The 21360-nt window shown below is 44.9% G+C and overlaps 1 protein-coding gene across 10 annotated transcripts in view; it reads left to right on the top strand.

Moving 5' to 3' along the window:
* RBSN (rabenosyn, RAB effector) overlaps positions 1–18354 on the top strand; it is a 29076-nt gene extending 10722 nt beyond the window's left edge. For 8 of the 10 annotated variants that reach the window (XM_005265385.5, NM_001302378.2, XM_005265384.5 and 5 more), the window contains 9 exons: positions 2466–2566; positions 3382–3427; positions 3531–3692; positions 5819–6060; positions 7625–7695; positions 10266–10352; positions 11263–11365; positions 12717–12821; positions 13497–18354. In XM_005265385.5, coding sequence (XP_005265442.1) covers positions 2466–2566; positions 3382–3427; positions 3531–3692; positions 5819–6060; positions 7625–7695; positions 10266–10352; positions 11263–11365; positions 12717–12821; positions 13497–14645 — 2066 coding nt within the window. In that variant the 3' untranslated portion in view covers positions 14646–18354. Of the gene's footprint in view, positions 1–2465; positions 2567–3381; positions 3428–3530; positions 3693–5818; positions 6061–7624; positions 7696–10265; positions 10353–11262; positions 11366–12716; positions 12822–13496 lie in introns of those variants that run through there. The other 2 variants (XM_017007026.2, XM_047448708.1) reach the window with 2 other exon arrangements.

Raw genomic sequence — 21360 nt, 5'->3', positions numbered from 1 at the left:
GCCTGGGTGACAGAGCGAGACTCTGTCTCAAAAAAAAAAAATAATAATAATACTATACATATGTAATTATGAGATACATATGAAAGCCAATCCAAAACATGAAGGAGAAATTTTGGACACATGAATTCTTATTAGCTTTGTTTCATGATTGCCCATGTGAGATTACTGGGGTGATTTTCTGATTAAGTTGCCAGTTGCAGCAACTGAAGACAGTCACAAATTGTAGAAGGTCAAGTGAATGGCAAATTTTAGAAGTTAATATTTATTTATGATAGCTTGTTTGTGATACCTTGTTTCATGATTGCCAATGTGAGATTACTAGGGTGATTTTCTGATTAAGTTGCCAGTTGCAGTAACTGAAATCACAAATTGTAGGTCAAATGAATGGCAAATTTTAGCAGTTAATATTTATGGTCACCCCTAAGAATTCTAAATTAAAGTTTAATTAGATGTTAGAGTATGATTAGGGAAGAAAAGACATGTGGATGGTTAAGAGTATAGCATGTGTGGCCAGGTGCGGTGGCTCACCTGTAAACCCAGCACTTTGGGAGGCCAAGGCAGGTAGATCACATGAGGCCAGGAATTTGAGACCAGTTTGGCCAATGTGGTGAGACCCTGTCTCTACTAAAAATACAAAAATTAGCCTGGCATGGTGGCACATGTGTGTAATCCAAGTTACTTGGGAGGCTGAGGCATGGGAATTGCTTGAACCTGGGAGGTGGAGATTGCAGTGAGCCTGGAGATTTCGCCACTGCATTCCAGTCTGGGCGACAGAGCGAGACTCTGTCTCAAAAATAAATAAAGAGTATAGCATGTGGAGATGCTGATCGAAGGATACAAAATTTCAGCCGGGAGGAATAAGTCAAGAGATCTGTTGTATAAGGTGGTGATTTATAGTTTTTTGTTTGTTTGTTTTTCTGAGACAGCCTTCCTCTGTCACCCAGGCTCAAGTGTGCTGCTGTGATCTTGGCTCACTGCAACCTTTGCCTCTGGGTTCAATTCTTGTGCCTCAGCCACCTGAGTAGCTGGGACCACAGGCGTGCACCACCATGCCCAGCTAATTTTTGTATTTTTAGTAGAGACAGGGTTTCACCATGTTGGTCAGACTGGTCTTGAACTCCTGGCCTCAAGTGATCCATGCTCCTCAGCCTCCCAAAGTGCTGGGATTACAGGCATGAGCCACCGCACCTGGCCTGATTATAGTTAATAAAAATATCTCGTATTCTTGAAAATCAGTGAGAGTAGACTTTGTATTGTCACCACAAAAAGTGGTAAGTATATGAAGTAATGCATATGGTAATTAGCTTGTTTAGCCATTTCCCAGTGTATAAATATTTCAAAACATCATGTTGTACACGGTGAATATATGCAATTTTTATTTGGCAATTAAAAAATTTTTTAAAAGCATGGCATGTGACAAATTCTGTTACATTATAGTCTATAAATGAATAGATGATCATTGGGAAGAGGACATGCACTGAGTGCCGGGAGGGTTGAGGACAATATGTTTCTGGAACAGGTGAGACTGAGCAGGGGATATTTCAGGTTACTCAGACAGTAAGCTATTTGTGTTGCAGACATTTGTCCTGGGTTTTGGCTGCTGGACTGAGGAAGGTATCAGCTTAACTATCTCCCACAAGGGAATCTACCAGCATTTACATTTTTTTGGCCATTTTGAGAATTGTCCTTATCCTGAGGAAAAACCATATTGTATCAAATTTATAAAGTATAAAACAATAAGATAATTCAAAAATGTTTAAATCACCCATAATGTTCCCACCCTGTTTATTTAACATTGGCATGAGAGTCAGTTAAGACTTTACAAATTTTAACTTATTTAATCATCGTTAACAACTCTGTGAAGTAGATACCATTATTATTCCATTTGATAGTTGAGTACTCTTAGAGTTACAGAGATGTTAAGTAATGTGTCCAAGGTTACACAGTGTGTGGCAGAATTGAAACTTGAGCACAGGCTGACTCCAGAGTCCATGCTCTTATCTGCTCTACTCTCAGGTCTCTCATATGGTACTTGGTGGCCTCCAAAGGCGGTTAACAATTTAGCAGATTTTCTTCCATTTGCTTTCCTGGTTTTTGAATTTTTGGTAAGGCTCTAAAATCCTAGAGTTTTTACTTGCTTTTGAAATATATTTTTTTTTCTTTCTGAAGTTGGTCTCACTCTGTCACCCAGGCTGGAGTACAGTGGTGGGATCATAGCTCACTGAAGCCTCCAGCTCCTGAGCTCAAGCCATCTTCCCGCCTTGGCCTCCCAAGGAGCTGGGATTATAGGCGTACATACCCATGCCTGACTATTTTTTTTTTTTTTTTTTTTTTTGGAGAGAGACGGGGTCTCGCTATGTTGACCAACCTGCTTTTGAAATTCACTGGGATAAGAGGCAAGGTAGAGACTAGGCTCCCTCAGAGAAACTATAAGTCATTTGTCTCCCTACCTTCCTTCCCTCTAGGTGCTGTGAGAAGCCATCTTTCCGACTTCAAAAAACACCGAGCTGCTAGAATTGACCACTATGTTGTGGAAGTCAATAAACTAATAATCAGGTTAGAGAAGGTAAATTTTGTTGTCTTAAAACATTTTTTTCTACAAATACACATTTTCTGGGGAAAAATAATCACATTTCTATAGCCTGTGTTGTATATATCATATACATCTGATGGTGGCAGAGAAACACCTTCTCTAGAGAGGTGCAAAGGACATGGTGGACAGTTCTAGCCTGGGCCAGCATTCCTTAAGAGAATGGCCCAGGTTGACAAACTTGCCACATGCTTAGCTTCCCTTTTCCCACCTATGAATCCCACTCAGGTGCTGGAAAACCTTTCTTCCTTCAGATTCTTCTTTTGGGTGTCCCAGGCACAATCATCCAGTGAGGTGTAGTGTGTGATGGCAAACAAAGAAGTGGTCACCAGGTCTCACGGGTGTATTTTCATCCTAGTTGTGCTTGTTGTGTGTAACCTGGATTGTGTGCTGGGCATAGTAGCAAGCACAAGTACAGTTCTTTATGTGTACTTTGTAAGGCAGAAATATGTGGCCAGTTTTAGGGTCCAGGAGCACCGTGGAGAATGGAGAGTTTTCTGTTGCTTTCAGTCGTTGCCCTTACCCATCCTTGCCTACCCCTGGTTATTGCTAAAATGGGTAACTGACAATAAAGAGATTAGAAGTGGGTTATAGGAAGCGAGGTGGGTTCTAGATGCAAAACTAATACCCTGTCCCATGTGAAATTGTTTTTGTGATTTTGTGGCGTTGGGGATGACAGATGAGACTTGAGGAATGCAAATGTGCTAATTTCCCACTTGATGTATTGGAAAGTGTGGAGCATGTATACATCACCTGGTTAATTTCATTTGGCACTATTTTCTTCCGGTCAGCTCACTGCATTTGACAGAACAAATACTGAGTCTGCAAAGATTCGAGGTAACTTTAAAACTTTGCTCACATTCATCTTATTATCTTTTTTTCCCTGACCAAAGCTCTCTTTAAAATGGCCTGCTTTCTTGTTGGTTTGCTCTTCCCAAAGCAATAGAAAAGTCTGTGGTGCCTTGGGTCAACGACCAGGATGTCCCTTTCTGTCCAGACTGTGGGAATAAGTTCAGCATCCGGAACCGCCGCCACCACTGCCGCCTCTGCGGGTCTATTATGTGCAAGAAGTGTATGGAGCTCATCAGCCTTCCCTTGGCAAGTAGGTGACTTGGAGGTGGGGCCCTGGACCCTCATCTTCTTTTGGGCCTAGCTTATTTGCTAATTACCACTGGGATCGTGGAACCTTTTTGTTAAATTAATGGCTCATGGGAATCTTCATTCATTGAGTTGCTGTTTCTGTGAAACCCACTACAGACTAGGTACTATGCTAGGGGCCAGGGATACAGTGGTCTATAACAGGGATTGGCAAACTTTGTAAAGGATCAGATAGTAAATACATTTAGGCTTTGTGGGCCACATATGGTTGCTGTGACATTTCTTCTTTCTTTAAACAACCTTTTAAAAATGTGAACACTAGACTGGGCACAGTGGCTCATGCCTGTAATCACAGCACTTTGAGAGGCCAAGGCAGGCGGATCACTTGAGGTCAGGAGTTTGAGACCAGCGTGGCCAACATGTTGAAACCCTGTCTCTATAAAAATACAAAAATTAGCCTGGCGTGGTGGCATGTGCCTGTAGTCCTAGCTACTCAGGAGGCTGAGGCAGGAGAATTGCTTGAACCTGGGAGGTGAAGGCTGCAGTGAGCTGAGATTGAGCCACTGCACTTCAGCCTGGGTGACCGAGCGAGACTCCCATCTCAAAAAAATAAATAAATAAAATAAAATAGCAATGTGAAAATTATACTTAGTTTGAGAGCCATATAGAAACAGCCTGGAGGCTGGACTTGGCTCACAGGTCATTTTTTGCCCATTTCTGGCCTATAAGCCTATAAGGCATTGTCCATTCTTCCAAGGAGTCTAGCATCTATCAGGGGATATAAACTCACAAATAAATAATTGCTTTCTAAAGAGAGATGTACAATGAAAGAGACTGTCAGGAACTCAGGAGAGGCTGACCAACTCTTTGTCTGCTCTGCTTGGAAGTGGCAAGTGTGACTTTGAGAAGAGGGTCTTGAATATAAGCAGTGGGCTAGTCCCTTCCTGTGGGATAAGTCACAGACAACTCACTGCCATATAGAAAAGACTAATATCATAATATGAGAGATGCTGAGTGCTGTGGGCTCAGGGACAGTGAGAGCATGCATGCTTAGGGCTGGGAGGTGATGTTCAAGAAGAGCCTTAAAAGATGAGTAGGATTGCAAAAGAGATGGAGAAAGAGGACATTTTAGGTAGAGTGAAGAGTAGGAGCAAAGGCATGGAATTCTGGAAAGCCCAGGGTAGGTTAATAGATGAGCAAATAGAATAGTTGGGGGTGTGTGGAGGACAAAGTTTAGGTGGAACCCGATCCTCCAGGACTTTGCAACCAAGCTGAGTAGAAGTTGCTGAAGATGATCTCATTGGCTTCTGGGAAGTTTGGGGTAAATTTGCAACACTAGAGAGTTCTGCTGACTGTGCACACTGTTGGCCATGGGGTGTCTGGATAATGTGGGGACAAAAACAGATGCTTCTTCTTTCCAACTCTCACATATACCAGGTCACTGTACCTTGATACTTTCTCCCTGAGACCAACTCCCTGTCTCACATGAGATTTTATAAGCTGCCTTTTTGGGACACTATTCACCCTTCTTCTCTTGAGCTCTTTAGCCAGCATTTACTGGGCAGCTGCTGTGGGGTGGCCCTGCTGGATATGTTAAGTGTACAAGTGTGAGTAAGACACAGTTCGTACCCACAAAGAGTCATAGGTTCCTAGGGCAGCTCTGGGGTGTACATGCAACTGTACACAGGGAGAAGAGTGGAAAGTGCTCCAAAATGGGCAATGTGGTGGGAACTGATGGGAAGGATGGATAGTTTTTGCCTCAGGGAATTGGAAAAGGCTTTCCTGGAGGACCTGCCATTCAGAGAGGGTAGGAGCCAGATGTTTGGGAATAGGGAGAAGGCTGTGGAGGAAAGTCTCCTGGGAGAATGTTTGTTGTGTTGGAGGCACAGGGCAAATGCAGGAGAGTGGCAGGTGGAAAGGGAAGGCTGTTTGGATTTGGAGGGGCAGCAGTGGAGTCCTTTCTCACCAGAGTCTGACACCAGGAAGGCAGAGGGGCAGTACGTGCCCACAGCTGGAGCCTGATCTTATTACTCTCCAAATCAAACACCTGTGGACTGACACCTTGAGGTCGTGGGTATGGTAATTGGATGCTGTGGGGGTCATTGCTGCCTGTTGGTGTTGTGGTTACAGACAAGCTCACCAGTGCCAGCAAGGAGTCCCTGAGCACCCACACCAGCCCCAGCCAGTCACCCAACAGTGTCCATGGCTCCCGCCGAGGCAGCATCAGCAGCATGAGCAGTGTCAGCTCGGTCCTGGATGAGAAGGACGATGACCGGATCCGCTGCTGTACACACTGCAAGGACACGCTGCTCAAGAGAGAGCAGCAGATTGATGAGAAGGAGCACACACCTGACATCGTGAAGCTCTACGAGGTGATTCGCGCTGTCTGGTCTTGGGTCTAATTTCTTAGGCAGATTTGGCTGTTTGTTATGTACACTCCTGCAGATTCTGGAGAATGCTTTGGGAAGTTGTTCGTTTGAATTATTTGTAGTTCCTGTTAAAGGCCCATGTTATGATTTCCCAGCTAGGGCCCTGTGTGAGTCAGAGTCATCCTGGGTGTGTTGCAACAAACTCGTTTCAAGTGGCCTTCCTTGGCCACTTGAAAGCAGGTGGGTGGAAGCTTTGGTGGCCCAGAGGCAATAGGAGGAAGGGCAGTTGCCATGTGGTGTAGACAGGTTCTGTGGGAAGGGCAGAAGCTAGAGATGTTCATAAACAGTGGGCCAGAAGAATCCTGGGAAACTCACTTGGGAGTGTTAGACTTTACAAGTTTTAGAAAGTTCTACAAGTTTTCAGGCTTCACCAGTTTACTGAGTGTCCCCTTCTAAGTTTGTCCAAATGCCTCAGCTGTCGTTACTTGAGTGATCCCACAGCCCCCCTACTAGATGCATACTCTGAGAGGAAATAGTGTGCAAAGAATATCTGGGAGTGAGACTGGCTTGGTCCCTTAATGGCCAGGTGAGACCTGTGAGCTGAGGAAGACTAGCCAGGTGGACTGGGTGGGGAGGCAGTAAGAGATGCAGGGAAGAGATCAGCCCAGGCAGAGGAAGCAGCTTGTGCAACATTCTGAACAGAGGAAGAGTGTAATTTTGCCTAATGACCACTGAATAGTCATTGTTAGTAGTTCTGCAGGTCATAATGGCACTGTTTCTGGAATCCCTATGTAAATACTCAGGCTACTAGAAATGGTGTCAATTAAGCCCCATGTTGGGTTGCAGATGTAGCATTCTCCATCCTTTGTGTGGAGTTCACGACCTGGTATCTCATTTCTGTGAATACCCACGGTGCTTGTGCCACCTCCTCTTTTGAAGTAAGCCCTGGCAATGCCTTGTGCTGGTTTCCCATTGTTGCCTGGCATCACTTGGCAGAGAAAGAAAGTAGCAGCTAATTCCTTTTTGTCTTGGTAGACACCTTGGCTTGTGCCCTGGAAGCCTTGCTCCTCTCAAAAACATCTCGCCGGGCACTTTGGGAGGCCGGGGCAGGCAGATCATTTGAGGCCAGGAGTTCGAGACCAGCCTGGCCAACATGGCAAAACCTCGTCTCTACTAAAAATATAAAAATTAGCCGGGCGTGGTGGCAGCGTGCCTGTAATTCCAGCTACTCAGGACGCCGAGGCATGAGAATCGCTTGAGCCCAGGAGGCAGAGGTTGCAGTGAGTGGAGATCGCGCCATTGTACTCCACCTTGGGTGACAGAACAAAATTCCTTCTCAAAAAAAAACAAAACGAAACATCTGATCAGAAGCTCCATTCTCACTTTCTTTCCTTCCTACAAAATTTTCTGCTTGGAAAGTATGCCTATAAATCAGGAAATTGATAACAACAATTAATGTGTTAGAAAAGTGAACATTTTAAATATAGCTCCATTGATGGAGCCTAGCTTCTGGGTAGGTGTTTCTATATCTTGAGCATACCACTTACCTCTTTGTTTTTGTTCTTAGAAATTACGACTTTGCATGGAGAAAGTTGACCAGAAAGCTCCAGAATACATCAGGATGGCAGCATCATTAAAGTAAGCTATTCATCTATGTTTTTCTAATCCAGTGGTGACTGTTTTCTGGCATTTTAGGTCAATTCTCCAGTAGCCAAAAATGAAAATCTTAACTTCAACCGTGCTTTTTTTCTGAGACCAGCTGAAGTTGGTTTTTTTCCACTTTTGGCTATTATGAAGAGAATCATCTTCATGTCTGTCTTTTAGTGGGGTACAGGCTACCATCACATGAGCTTGTAGAAAGACAGCCACATTCAGTTGACCTTGGCTATTCTGACTGAGCAGGTTTGGGAAGGGCCTCAGACAATAGGTACTGCTGCTGAGTGCAGCATCTGGACAGAGCAGAGGAAGGGCAGTGGGTCTCATGCTCATGTCTGGGTAGATGCCACTTGAGTGTCACATTGAGGTGTCAGGGCTTAAAGCAGGCATGACCATTAGAGCAGGGGCTGGCAGACTGCAGCCCGTGGGCCAAATGTATCCTGACATCTGCTTTTTTTTTTTTTTTTTCCGAGACGGAGTCTCACTCTGTTGCCAGGCTGGAGTGCAGTGGCGTGATCTCGGCTCACTGTGACCTCCACCTCCCAGGTTCAAGCAATTCTCCTGCCTCAGCCTCCCAAGTAGCTGGGACTACAGGCACGCACCACCACGCTCAGCTAATTTTTTTATATTTTTAGTAGAGACGGGGTTTCACCATGTTGGCCAGGATGGTCTTGATCTCTTGACCTCGTGATCCACCCGCCTTGGCTTCCCAAAGTGCTGGGATTACAGGCGTGAGCCACCGTGTCTGGCCAACATCTGCTTCTTTTTTAAAATTGAGATGTAGTTCACACACCCTAACCTTTACCCTTTTAAAGTGTACAGTTTGGTGGTTTTTAGCGTATTCACAAAATTAGCGAACATTACCACTGTCTTCATTGTAAACATTTTTATCACCCCAGTAGGAAACCCCATACCCATTAGCAGCCACTGCCCTTTCCCCATCTCCCTGGACACCACTAATCTATTTCCTGTCTCTATGGATTTGTCTGCTTTTGACATGTCATATAAATAGAATCATAAATATAAAATCTCTCTTGTCTGGCTTCTTTCACACAGTGTACTGTTTTTCAGATTCATCCATGTTGTTGCATGTATCAGTACTTCATTCCATCTGTATGAATGCATTGCATGGATACTTGTCACATTTTGTTTATCCATCAGTTGATGAACATTTGGGTTTTTTCCACTTTTGGCTGTTATAAATAATGCTTCTGTAATATTTGAGTACAAGTTTTTATGTTTTTTGTGTAGACATGTTTTCATTTCTCTCGGGTAGGTACCTAGGAGTGGAATTGCTGGGTTTTATGGTAACTATATATTACCATAGAGTAACATTCCATAGAGGAATTGCTAAATCGTTTTGTGGAATGACTGCACTATTTTGCATTCCCACCAGCAGTGTATGAGGGTTTCACTTTCTTTATAGCCTTACCAACACTAGTTATTGCCACCTGTTTGCATAAAGTTTTATTGGAACACAGCCATGCCCATGTTTGATTACTGTTTGTGGCTGCTTTTGCACCACCATGACAGAGTTGAATAGCAGCAACAGAGACTGTGTGGCCTGCAAAGCTGAAAACATTTATGATTCGGCTCCTTATGGAAAAAATTTGCTGATCCCTGCTTAAGATCGTTGCTTTTTCTGAAGCTTAGTGTTTGTAACCTAGAAGTTAAAGTGCTAACTACTAGAGTCAGATCCCAGCAGTGTTTTCCCAACCTGTAGGAAAAGAATTAATTATGGTATCTAGTGTTATTAATTTCAGAGTTTTCTGTCTTTGTCTTAAACCTGTGTTGCCTATCTGCCACATTTAAAGCGATGCATGTAGTAGTAGATGTGCCTTTTTTAAAAACAAAACCATGTGTATATATATATTTAAAACAAAACCATGTATATATATATATATATATATATATATATATATATATATATATATGTATTTTTTTTTTTTTTTTTGAGACCGAGTTTTGCTCTGTCGCCTAGGCTGGAATGCAGTGGTGCGACCTTAGCCCACTGCAACCTCCGCCTCCCAGTTCAAGCAATTCTTCTGCCTCAGCCTCCTGAGTAGCTGGGATTACAGGCACCCACCACGATGCCTGGCTAATTTTTGTATTTTCAGTAGAGATGGGGTTTCATCATGTTGGCCAGGCTGGTCTCGAACCTCCTTGGGTACTTTTGAGCGAGAAAAGCCAAGTAGCTTTCTGCTCTTAATGTAGTGTAACCACTTCTTACATCTTGTTAGATATAGTGGAATTGTTTAGGAAAAGTAGGCCAGAGTAAATTCAGCCGCATTTGTTTTGGTGATGAGCATAAGGGCTAGTCCTTGGAGGCCTTGGCATGAATCTGTCCCTGTTGCGTCTGCAAATCGAAACATCACTTCCACTTGATTCATTCATTCCAAGAGATGGACACTGCATTATATCTGAAAGTCTGAAATGCCACCTTTAGAGAATTAACTGCCTTTGTGAGGCCTTACACCTTTAGCGTCCTTCTACACTATGCTGTCCAATCTGCACCATGAAACTTAGGTCACGTGTCTCTGGTTTCTCCTTAGTGCTGGGGAGACAACCTACAGTCTGGAACATGCCAGTGACCTTCGAGTGGAAGTGCAGAAAGTGTATGAGCTGATAGACGCTTTAAGGTAAGGTCCATTAAGTGGTATCCTGCCCGCTGGTGGAATGGAGAAGATGCTGTTCTAATGAAATGGCGAAAGCAGACCTGCACTCACTCAGACTTCTGGTGATGGGGCAGTGGGTGAGGAGGAGGGCAAGGAAGGGGCCAGCTCTGGCACTTAATGCATCTCAGTGACTTTTGTTTCGTTAAGGATTTCTAATGTTTGCTATTATTAAAGAAAGAGGAGCTGGTTATTGACACCTATCACCTGCCAGTCACTGGCTGTTTTCTCTAGAATAGCTCATTTATTCTACTGAAGTTACCCTGTGAGGTAGGGATTAACATCCTGTGTCAAAGGTGAGGAATCATGTCACAGATAGCAAAAATTGTGGAGTGAAGATAGAAACTCAGGTTCTTTCTTTGTGTCTGTGCTCAAGTCCACAGCTGCTTTTTAACTGTGGACTGGCCATTGGGGTTAAATTAGCCAGTGACTCAGAGGGAGAATAAGATGAGGTGCCTTTGTCCATCCAGACATACAGCAGGAGTTCGTAGTTGCAGGGCCTGGTACAAAATGAAAATGCATGTCCCCTGTTCAAAAGTTATTAAGAATAAAGACACTAACAGCAGAGCATTAAACCAAGCACAGGGCTCTTTTAAGTGCCAGTCCTTTCCAGTTGCATAGGTTGCTCACCTGTGAAGCTGGCTCTGCATGTGTAGTCAGTCACTCCATAACAGTGTTGTGCGCCCTTTGCTAAGGCCTGTGTACAGCCAAAGGGTAAGAAATGGGCTTTGCCTTCAAAGAAACTTCAATGGAGTCACTTGTCCATCTTTACACACCTTCCTGGCATGAAAGCCTGGCAACTCCAGATGTTATACTTTTCACCCTTGTTTCTGAAGCTGGCAGTGCTCATTATATTCATGTGTTTGTTCCAATTCAGTAAGAAGATCTTAACCTTGGGCTTGAACCAGGACCCTCCACCACATCCAAGCAATTTGCGGCTGCAGAGAATGATCAGATACTCAGCTACACTTTTTGTGCAGGTAAAGCCATCCTGGGTTGGCATAAATGTTGCACTTGGCCTGTCCTGCTCTTTTGCTTCCCAGGAGGCAGATCCATGCCAATGACTTGTTTACTTCCTATTTATACATTTATTATTTTTTGAAATTATGAATGCATGATGCCACACTTAGAGAAAAATCTGGATTTCAGAGAAAACTAAAACTACTTTTAATCCTATGTCCCCATTACAATCACTCATTATTCTGGTATGTTTTCTTTTTTCCCATTTGTATTTTTTATATACAGTAGTTACGATACTGCATATTGACTGTATATGCCATTCTTTAACCGTTTTCCTTTAGTTGGACATTTGATAGACTAATTTTTTGCTGCTGTTAAGTGTTGCCATGATAGTAATAATGGTACTTAGTATTTCTTCCTTAGGATAATCTCCTAAGAGACTCTTCTTGAGCCATCAGCTGGGAGGAAACAGCCGATTAAGGGCAGACTAACCTAAGTGGTTAGATCTGAATTGTGTCTTTCTATCCCTGAAGGCCCCTTCTGAGAGAGTCACAGTTAACCACTCTTGGGGCTCCCTGATAAAGAGATCTGTTTTTTTCTTTTTTTTTAAATTAAAACAAAGTGTTTTTTTTTTCTTTTATTAAATAGAGACAGGGTCTTACCATGTTGCGCAGGCTGGTCTCAAACTTTTGAGCTCAAGCAGTCTGCCCACCTTGGCCTCCCAAAGTGCTGGGATTATAGGCGTGAGCCACTGCACCCAGCCAACAAAGAGATCTAATAGACAGAGTCCTGTCAGGTTAGTTTTCTAACTCTGTAGTATAGAGAAGTAGGCCCTTCCTCACTTTGATTAGTGACTCTATTCAGCAATCATTTGTTGAGTGCCTCCTATGTACCAGGTAGTGTTTTAGGTGCTGGATGTCCTATAGTGAACAAAAAAGACCAACGTTCCTGTTCTCATTAAGCTTATGTTCTAGAGAAGGAGAGAGATCATAAACAACTAAAATATCTAGTATGTAAGATAGCAAAAGTGCTCTGGAGAAACTTACAGCAGGGAAGTGTGGGAGAGAGGGCTGGGATTGAGGTTTGCTAAGTTAATAGGATGGGCAGGGACAAGACCTCATAGAGAAGCTAACATCTGAGCCAGGTGAATAACTGGGATATCTGATGTTGATCATTTCATAAGGAAAATGCAGGCCCATTTGGAGTTGACTGTCTCACCCAATATGAGTTCTCTCCTTTCTAGCTGCTGTCAAATGATGTCACTCTCTGAGAACAGAGTGGCTCAGCTTAAGCAGACTCTCATCATGGGGCTTAAGGTTCATTTTTTCTCTAAAAGGGTTTAAGTGTAAAATTGTCTGTCACTCCCTGCAGGAAAAGTTGCTTGGTTTGATGTCACTGCCAACCAAAGAACAGTTTGAGGAACTGAAAAAGAAAAGGAAGGAGGAAATGGAGAGGAAGAGGGCCGTGGAGAGACAAGTGAGTGAAGCCAGGGATATGGGGCCTGCTTCCTCCTGTGGCTCTCAAGCACAGAGGCTGCCATGGGCTCCCAGGTTGTGTGCGGTTGTAGTGAATCAGAACCTCTCTCTCAAATGTGCATATTTCTTCTGTTGTGTTTCAGCCTCACTTTCATCTATGGGAACTAGAATAATTGTTTTTCTCCCCAGGGCCTATTTTTCTTTCAGAGCTTCTGCTGATTCTCTCATGGCTAGAATACCACAGAGATTGACAGTTCTCCCTATGGCAGGAGTTGCAGAGGACCAAGACATTAGGAAGTTCCTTGTAGAACATATCGGTATATGCAATATTAAACAGAAAATTATATGTGTATTTAACGCTGCGTGAGATTCCAGTGTAGATGAGGGGAACAGACCTTAGAGGTTTAAGAAAAGTATACGGCCTGTGAATCTAAGATTGAGAAAATCTGATGCCCTAACTTATTCATTATATTTTATTTTTGAAAATCAGGGTCTCCCTTCCGCCCACATATACACAAAAACATGACTTGATTTTAGCAGTTGGATATCTTTGTCCTGAGGTGAGAAATTGGAGTGTCACTGGCACAGGGATAGAGGGACAACAGAGGGTGGGTGACAGTGTGGGCTGCTGCCAGCATAGTGACTGTTTCTTCTCTCTGCTTTGCTCTCTCCCCAGGCTGCCCTGGAGTCCCAGCGAAGGCTTGAGGAAAGGCAGAGTGGCCTGGCTTCTCGAGCGGCCAACGGGGAGGTGGCATCTCTCCGCAGGGGCCCTGCCCCCTTGAGAAAGGCTGAGGGCTGGCTCCCACTGTCAGGAGGTCAGGGGCAGAGTGAGGACTCAGACCCGCTCCTCCAGCAGATCCACAACATCACATCATTCATCAGGCAGGCCAAGGCCGCGGGCCGCATGGATGAAGTGCGCACTCTGCAGGAGAACCTGCGGCAGCTGCAGGACGAGTATGACCAGCAGCAGACAGAGAAGGCCATCGAGCTGTCCCGGAGGCAGGCTGAGGAGGAGGACCTGCAGCGGGAACAGCTGCAGATGTTGCGTGAACGGGAGTTGGAACGAGAAAGGGAGCAGTTTCGGGTGGCATCCCTGCACACACGGACTCGGTCCCTGGACTTCAGAGAAATCGGCCCTTTTCAGCTGGAGCCCAGCAGAGAGCCTCGCACCCACCTTGCTTATGCTTTGGATCTAGGCTCTTCCCCAGTTCCAAGCAGCACAGCTCCCAAGACCCCTTCACTTAGCTCAACTCAACCCACCAGAGTGTGGTCTGGGCCCCCAGCCGTTGGCCAGGAGCGCTTACCCCAGAGCAGCATGCCACAGCAACATGAGGGGCCCTCCTTAAACCCCTTTGATGAGGAAGACCTCTCCAGCCCCATGGAAGAGGCCACTACTGGTCCTCCTGCTGCAGGGGTTTCCTTAGACCCTTCAGCCCGCATCCTGAAAGAGTACAATCCTTTCGAGGAAGAGGACGAGGAGGAGGAAGCAGTGGCAGGGAATCCATTCATTCAGCCAGACAGCCCAGCTCCTAACCCCTTCAGTGAGGAAGACGAACATCCCCAGCAGAGGCTCTCAAGCCCTCTGGTTCCTGGTAACCCCTTTGAGGAACCCACCTGTATCAACCCCTTTGAGATGGACAGTGACAGTGGGCCAGAGGCTGAGGAGCCCATAGAGGAAGAGCTCCTCCTGCAGCAGATCGATAACATCAAGGCATACATCTTTGATGCCAAGCAGTGCGGCCGCCTGGATGAGGTAGAGGTGCTGACAGAGAATCTGCGGGAGCTGAAGCACACCCTGGCCAAGCAGAAGGGGGGCACTGACTGACCAGCAGTGGAGAGGGCACCTTTGGGCCCAGGGGTCTGGCAGGAGCCAGTGGAGCAGGACAGAGGGCAGGCAGGATGGATGGGGAAGGTGGCAGGGTGAGAACTCAGATGCACACAGGTGAGGGGCAGGAATCTGCTGTTTTGTGTTGCGCACTTTGAGGTATTTCCACTACAGTTGAATAATAAAATAGAAACTAGAACAGGGAGAATCAGCATTCAGTTGCTGCTTTTCCTGTTTATTATTACTATCTTTTGTAATCGGAGGTTTACCCCTTTTGAAGGGACTTTACATTTTTACTACCGAGATATAACTAAATGCAGCTCTGTTGGGCCCAGGGCAGAAATGGCTGCTGTGTACCTCTTGGGTCCATTTGCTACTGCCTAGTCTTGGTTCCTTATGCAGTATTATAGGGCAGCCTTTTTAGAGCCCTTCCTTTAGCCAAGACAGAGAAGATAGATTCCACTGAGCTCTATTCTGCTCTGACAGAAGTCCATCCCTAGTAGGCTGTGAGTTCCATTTCACCTGGGGCCGCCTCTCCCCTGCTCTGCACTTCCTGTCTGTACAATAGAAGGGGGAGGTGCTGCTATGAAGGGGAGAGTTTAGACCCAGGAGAGCCCAGCACCTCTTTTTAAGGTGGGGTGATGGGAATATTTCACCAGGGTCTATTTTCTCAGTTTAAGTTCTTTTTTGTCTCTTTCAGGAAGTTAAGCTCCCAGTGCAGGGTATCAATGTGAATCTGGTCCTGAGCTTTTTAGAAAATAAGAGTGGTGGCCGGGCGCGCTGGCTCACGCCTGTAATCGCAACACTTTGGGAGGCCGAGGCAGGCAGATCACAAGGTCAGGAGATCGAGACCACCCTGGCTAACACAGTGAAATCCCGTCTCTACTAAAAATACAAAAAATTAGCCAGGCGTGGTGGTGGGTGCCTGTAGTCCCAGCTACTTTGGAGGCTGAGGCAGGAGAATGCTGTGAACCCGGGAGGCAGAGCTTGCAGTGAGCCGAGATCGCACCACTGCACTCCAGCCTGGGCAGTGAGAGTGAGACTCCGTCTCAAAAAAAAATAAGAGTGGTTAACTTTTTGGTTGATATTAGTATTATTTGTGAGAAGAGTTTCCCCACCCTTCTTCTGATAGAACAATTGTCTGTCACTGGAGAAATCTCCCTCCAGAGCTTTGGCAAAGTTACTCTGATCTGGGTCTGTTTAAAAGGCCGGGTCTCTAATTTAGGAATCGGTGATTTGGAAGCTTTTGCAGAACATCACCAGAAGAAGGGAAGCTTCCCAGAGTCAGAAGCTAAATTAAAATAATTTCCAAGGCTATTTGATCAGCCTTCTTCCTTTTTGGTTCATTGTGTCCTGACTTGGGGCACTGATGAGATTTTTTATTTTTTTTGAGACAGAGTTTCACTTTGTTGCCCAGGCTGGAGTGTAGTGGCATGATCTCAGCTCACTGCAACCTCCACCTCCCTGGTTCAAGTGATATTTGTGCCTCAGCCCCCTGAATAGCTAGGATTACAGGCGTGGGCCACCACGCCTGGTTAATCTCTGTATTTTTAGTAGAGGTAGAGTTTCACCATTTTGGCCAGGCTGGTTTCGAACTCCTGGCCTCAAGTGATCTGCCACCTTGGCCTCCCAAAGTGCTGGGAATACAGGCGTGAGCCACTGTGCCCGCCCTGATGAGATATTTTATTACCAATGTTAGTATTGAGAAACTGAAATGTTTGAAGAAGCACAACCCAGGATCGTGCTGGTAGCACCACAGTACTTAAACTGTTGGTCAATTAAGGCCAGAAAGGGAAATTGTTAATTTAGCTCTGGTGCTTTGGTTTACAGGAACATAACTCTTAACTGACATCTGACATCATGATAGCCATATGTGCTCAGCTCTGGGTAGAGTTTCTGCAGTTACTCATCTGAACTAATGAACAATAACTGACCACTAGTCACTTTATGCCGTGTAACTAGCTCTAGGCCATACTTTCACTGGTTACTGGTGTGAAAGCTGAAATTCATTTTGTTACATTCTGGTGAAGACCCCTCTTGATAATGGGAATGTTTTAACTCTCTTGATGAAAAAATAATCTGTATTTGTGTTGATGTTCACATTTCTGTAGCACATTTCTTATCCTTTTGGTTGAATGAAAAGATCTTGTATAGGGGTGTGGAGATGGGGAGTGGGTAGAAGTGTGTGAAGGACGCTTTGCATTTGGGATCTGTTCACAAACAGCCATATGAGTGTGTTAATGAATGTCAGCCAGTTACCAACCCTGCTGGTTGTTATGGGTTGTTTTGAGAAGTTGGCAACCAGGCATCTAAGATGTTGCCTGGTACAGGCCTCTTTTCTTCCCTGAGGCCCATGACATTTCTCTGTTACTCTAGAGGGTTTCTCAGATGGCCAGTAGGCTCCTCCCTGCTTAGGGTCTCATTTCTCTGAAAAGAGGATGAACTGAAAAGCAGGTAGTTCCAGAAGCTAATTGCTGCTTTCCATCATAATTATTTTTCTTGTGAGAACATTTCTCTTTTAATTAGCTAGTGATTTTGATTAAGACTAATTCACTAAACATACCCTTCCCTCAAATCACCTCAGGTAGCAATCTGTAAGTAACTAAAAGCATTGAAAAACACACAAGAAACATTTTTAAAAACTATTTTTAAAGGCCTGGCCGGGTGCAGTGGCTCACTCCTGTAATCCCAGCACTTTGGGAGGCCGAGACGGGTGGATCACCTGAGGTCAGGAATTTGAGACTAGCATGGCCAACATGGTGAAACCCCGTGTCTACTAAAAATACAAAAATTAGCTGGGCGTGGTGGCAGACGCCTGTAATCCCAGCTACTCAGGGAGGCTGAGGCACGAGAATCGCTTGAACCTGGGAGGCGGAGGTTGCAGTGAGCCAAGATTGCGCCACTGCACTCCAACCTGGGTGACAAGAGCAAGACTCCGTCTCACAAAAAACAAACAAAACTGACTGATTGAATATACTAAACCAAACTAAAATCATATTCTTTTGATTAAGTTTATCCATGGCTGTATTCTTCTATGAATTCTTCCATTTAATTCTTCCACGATTATCTTCTCCTGTAAATACATCACAGGAGTTAGAATTCTCTACCCATCAGCTGTACCATGTCGCAGAATTCATGCAGGCACAAAGTTGGAGTTACAGAGATGGGTTGACAGCAGGCAAACTTGGCCTATGTATTATAACCACAACTTCAAGTTCTTACCTCATGTGAATATTCACCCTTTCTTTAGTCTTCCAAGGCAAACAGCCCCGTCTCATCACCAGATGAGCAAGGTCTTGATATGGCATAGCAGATCTCCCTAGACACAGATCATGAGAAAAGATGGAAGAGACTTAGGGATTCAGGCATCAGATGAAGTTGGCTTTTCCCTTTTATGCCTTGTTTGTATTTACCCTGTCTAATACACTAAGGATACTTACTCATTGTACTTGCAGCTCAATATGTCTTTGCTGTTCAGATACTAAAATGTACCTCTGAGTCATTGTGAGCTGTGTGGTAGGTTGGACATTGGCATAGTTGGTGATGGGACTCAAAATGAAAAGGTGGTCTCTTTACCAGGTCACAGACTGTAGCAGATTGTGCTTGTTATCTGACAATGACTGTCACTTTGAGGGTCGTTGATTTGCATGCACTACTCTGGGGCCTTGTATTGGAGCCTTTTTTAAAAAAAATAAAATCTGAGATAGAGGTTGGGGGTGTGTGTGTCTGTGTGCACATGTGTTACAAGTGAGAATCATCAGATGACATCCCTTCTCCTTTCTTGATGACAACCATCTGAGTATCAGAATAGTTCCAGCACCTGTGTTGTTTGTCTGGTTAAGGCCTCTGGAAAAAATGAAGGTCACTGGGTTCTGAACAGGGGATAGATACGGGTTCCAGTTCTGCCCTTATTCCCAGTTATTCCTGCAGTGCTGGTTAAATGAACAGTTTTACAGAAGTATAGTGCAGATCCCTTAATGATCCTATCATCCCAGTTTCACACTGGAAGAAACTGAGGCTCAGAGATTGAGGAACCTTGTGACTGCCATCTGTGCCAGTCACCACCTCTGCATGACCACATTTCCCTCCATTAGCACTACCAGCATGCCTGTGAGGTAGTTACTCAGCTGTTCATCTGACCCCAGACGTAGAAAAGTTAAGAGAGATTAGCCTGGCTTAGGCCACACAGCCAGTCAGTGGTGGAATGAGGGTTTAAATCCAGATCTGCCTGACTTAATTTGCCCTCAGTAATAAGTAGCTGGGTCAGGTAGTGGTGTGGTGGTGGTGGGTGCTCAACCATTGTGTCAAGCTCAAAGAGGGCAGAAAAGGGCAATGGGGAATGAGGTTGGGTGCTGCTGAGCTGGTTTCCGATAGTGACTGCCTGAGTCTGTGAAACTGAGACCTCCTTAGGGCCTTAAGAATATATAGATTCTTAAACCAGGAGAGTATAATATCTAGTGCTCACTGTAGGCTAGACTGAGTGCTAAGTATTACGCATGGCTTACCTCAGTCTTCCCAACAACCCATTTACACATGCAGAAATGAGTGAGTGGTGAAGTTAAGCTTGCTTAGGGTTGCACTGCTGGGTTTCCAGCCTAGGTCTGTCTGACTGCAAAACCCAAGCTGCCCTAGATTGTGTTGTATGTGGACACCCATGTTTCTAATGTGGAATGGGGTGTTTCATCCCTAGCAAGTGCCTCCTGTGGACTTTTAAGATGAAAAACTTCTGCCTAACTCTTCAGGAAGCCTAGCGTAGTTGTAAAAATACTTCAGAAAGCACTTCTGGTTTTAGCTCAGACACGTAGAGTTTGAAAGTTATCCTATCCTTACCACAAGAAAAAGCTGGGCAAACTCAAAAGCATTGGCCTTTCTTGGTCCCATTAGAGAGCTGAGTGTGCAGGTCAAACTGCCATCCCAAAATCTAGAGAGAGGTGAGTCCAGAGAGTGAGCAAGATCTAATTGCCTGGAGCAGAAGCCACGGGAGCCATAGCTAGTAGGAAAACTTAAATGGTAATTTTGATGAACTGCTGGAGGTTGAGTGTGGACTAGCATGGGAGGGAGCAACTCCCCCTCACCCCCAACGCTTTCCTGGGTTTTACCCTACTTGGTTCTATTGGTGAAGAGCTGAGGAAGACCCTCTGGTGACTCTGGCAGGGGAAAGGGAGAATCATCTTTGTAATCAGAGCCTTCTCCATAATAAAGCTTATTCCCCAGAGGAAAGCACTTTTTCACAGAGCCTTATCCATCTGGAGGAGGGCTGGGTCATGTAAGGGGGTACAAAGGGGAACTAAGAAACACTTGTGGGCCAGTGCGGTGGCTCACGCCTGTAATTCCAGCACTTTGGGAGGCCAAGGTGGGCAGATTGCTTGAGCCCGGGAGTTCAAGACCAGTCTGGGCAATATAGCAAAACCTCATCTTTACAAAAAATACAAAAATTAACCAGGCATTGTGGCACATGCCATAGTCCAAGCTACTCGGGGCTGAGGTGGGAGAATTGCTTGAGCCTGGGAAGTAGAGGCTGCAGTGAGCTGTGATTGCGCCACTGTACTGCGCTCTAGCCTGGGTGATAGAGCAAGACACTGCCTCAAAAAAAAAAAAAAAAAAGAAAAAGAAAAAAAAAGGAAAGAACACTTGTGTAGGTCACAGCCCAAGGACACAAGCCCACTAAAATGCTGAGATTTAATCGTAAGATTATAGAATGCTTCACCTCCCCCATGTTTTTCCACCACATCAACAGGACTCCAGGATAGTAACAGTGAATTATACCTGGAAGAGCTGCAAGACACGGACTCTCTCAGGAGGAATATCGAGGGAAGCCCAAAGGCAAGAGGAGATAAACACAAAGACACTAGAGGAACTGGAAGCCTCTGACACCTACAGCTATGGCAAACATTAAACACAGCTCTCAACTCTGAGCCAGATTAACATAAGTTCTCATTCTAGAGGCTTATTTACCCCAGTTCCTATGGCCCAATAGAGTGGATATTCTACCTTCAACAAAAAAATTATAAGCATGCTAAAAGGCAAGGAAAAAAATAAACCCAACAATCAGATGAAACAAAGCAAACATCAGAATCACACTCAGATATTGGAATTATCAGACAAGAAATTTAAAATGTGGTCTGTTAAGGGGTCTAATGGTAAAAGTAAACAACATACAAGAACAGATGGGTAATGTAAACAGACATAAGAAAACTAAGAATCATGCGAGGTGTGGTGGTTCACACTTGTAATCCCAGCAGTTTGGGAGGCTGAGGCAGGCAGATCACTTGAGGTCAGGAGTTTGAGACCAGCCAGGCCAACAAGGTGAAACCCCATCTCTACTAAAAATACAAAAATTAGACTGGGCACAGTGGCTCATGACTGTAATCACAGCACTTTGGGAGGCCAATGCGGGTGGATCACGAGGTCAGGAGTTCAAGACCAGCCTGGCCAACATGGTGAAACCCTGTCTCTACTAAAAATACAAAAACTAGCTGGGTGTGGTGGTGGGCACCTGTAATCTCAGCCACTTGGGAGGCTGAGGCAGGAGAATCATTTGAACCTGGGAGGCAGAGGTTGCAGTGAGCCAAGATAGTGCCATTGCACTCCAGCCTGGGTGACAGAGCGAGACTTCGTCTCAAAAAAAAAAAAAAAAAAAATTAGCCAGGCATGGTGGTGTGCACCTGTAGTCCCAGCTAAGTGGCAGAGGTGGGAGAATTGCTTGAGCCCAGGA

Source organism: Homo sapiens, chromosome 3, assembly GCF_000001405.40.
Source record: "Homo sapiens chromosome 3, GRCh38.p14 Primary Assembly".
In the NCBI taxonomy this organism is placed as follows: domain Eukaryota; kingdom Metazoa; phylum Chordata; class Mammalia; order Primates; family Hominidae; genus Homo; species Homo sapiens.
Note: the sequence above shows the minus strand (reverse complement) of the source record. Positions and strands in the feature narration are given on the sequence as shown.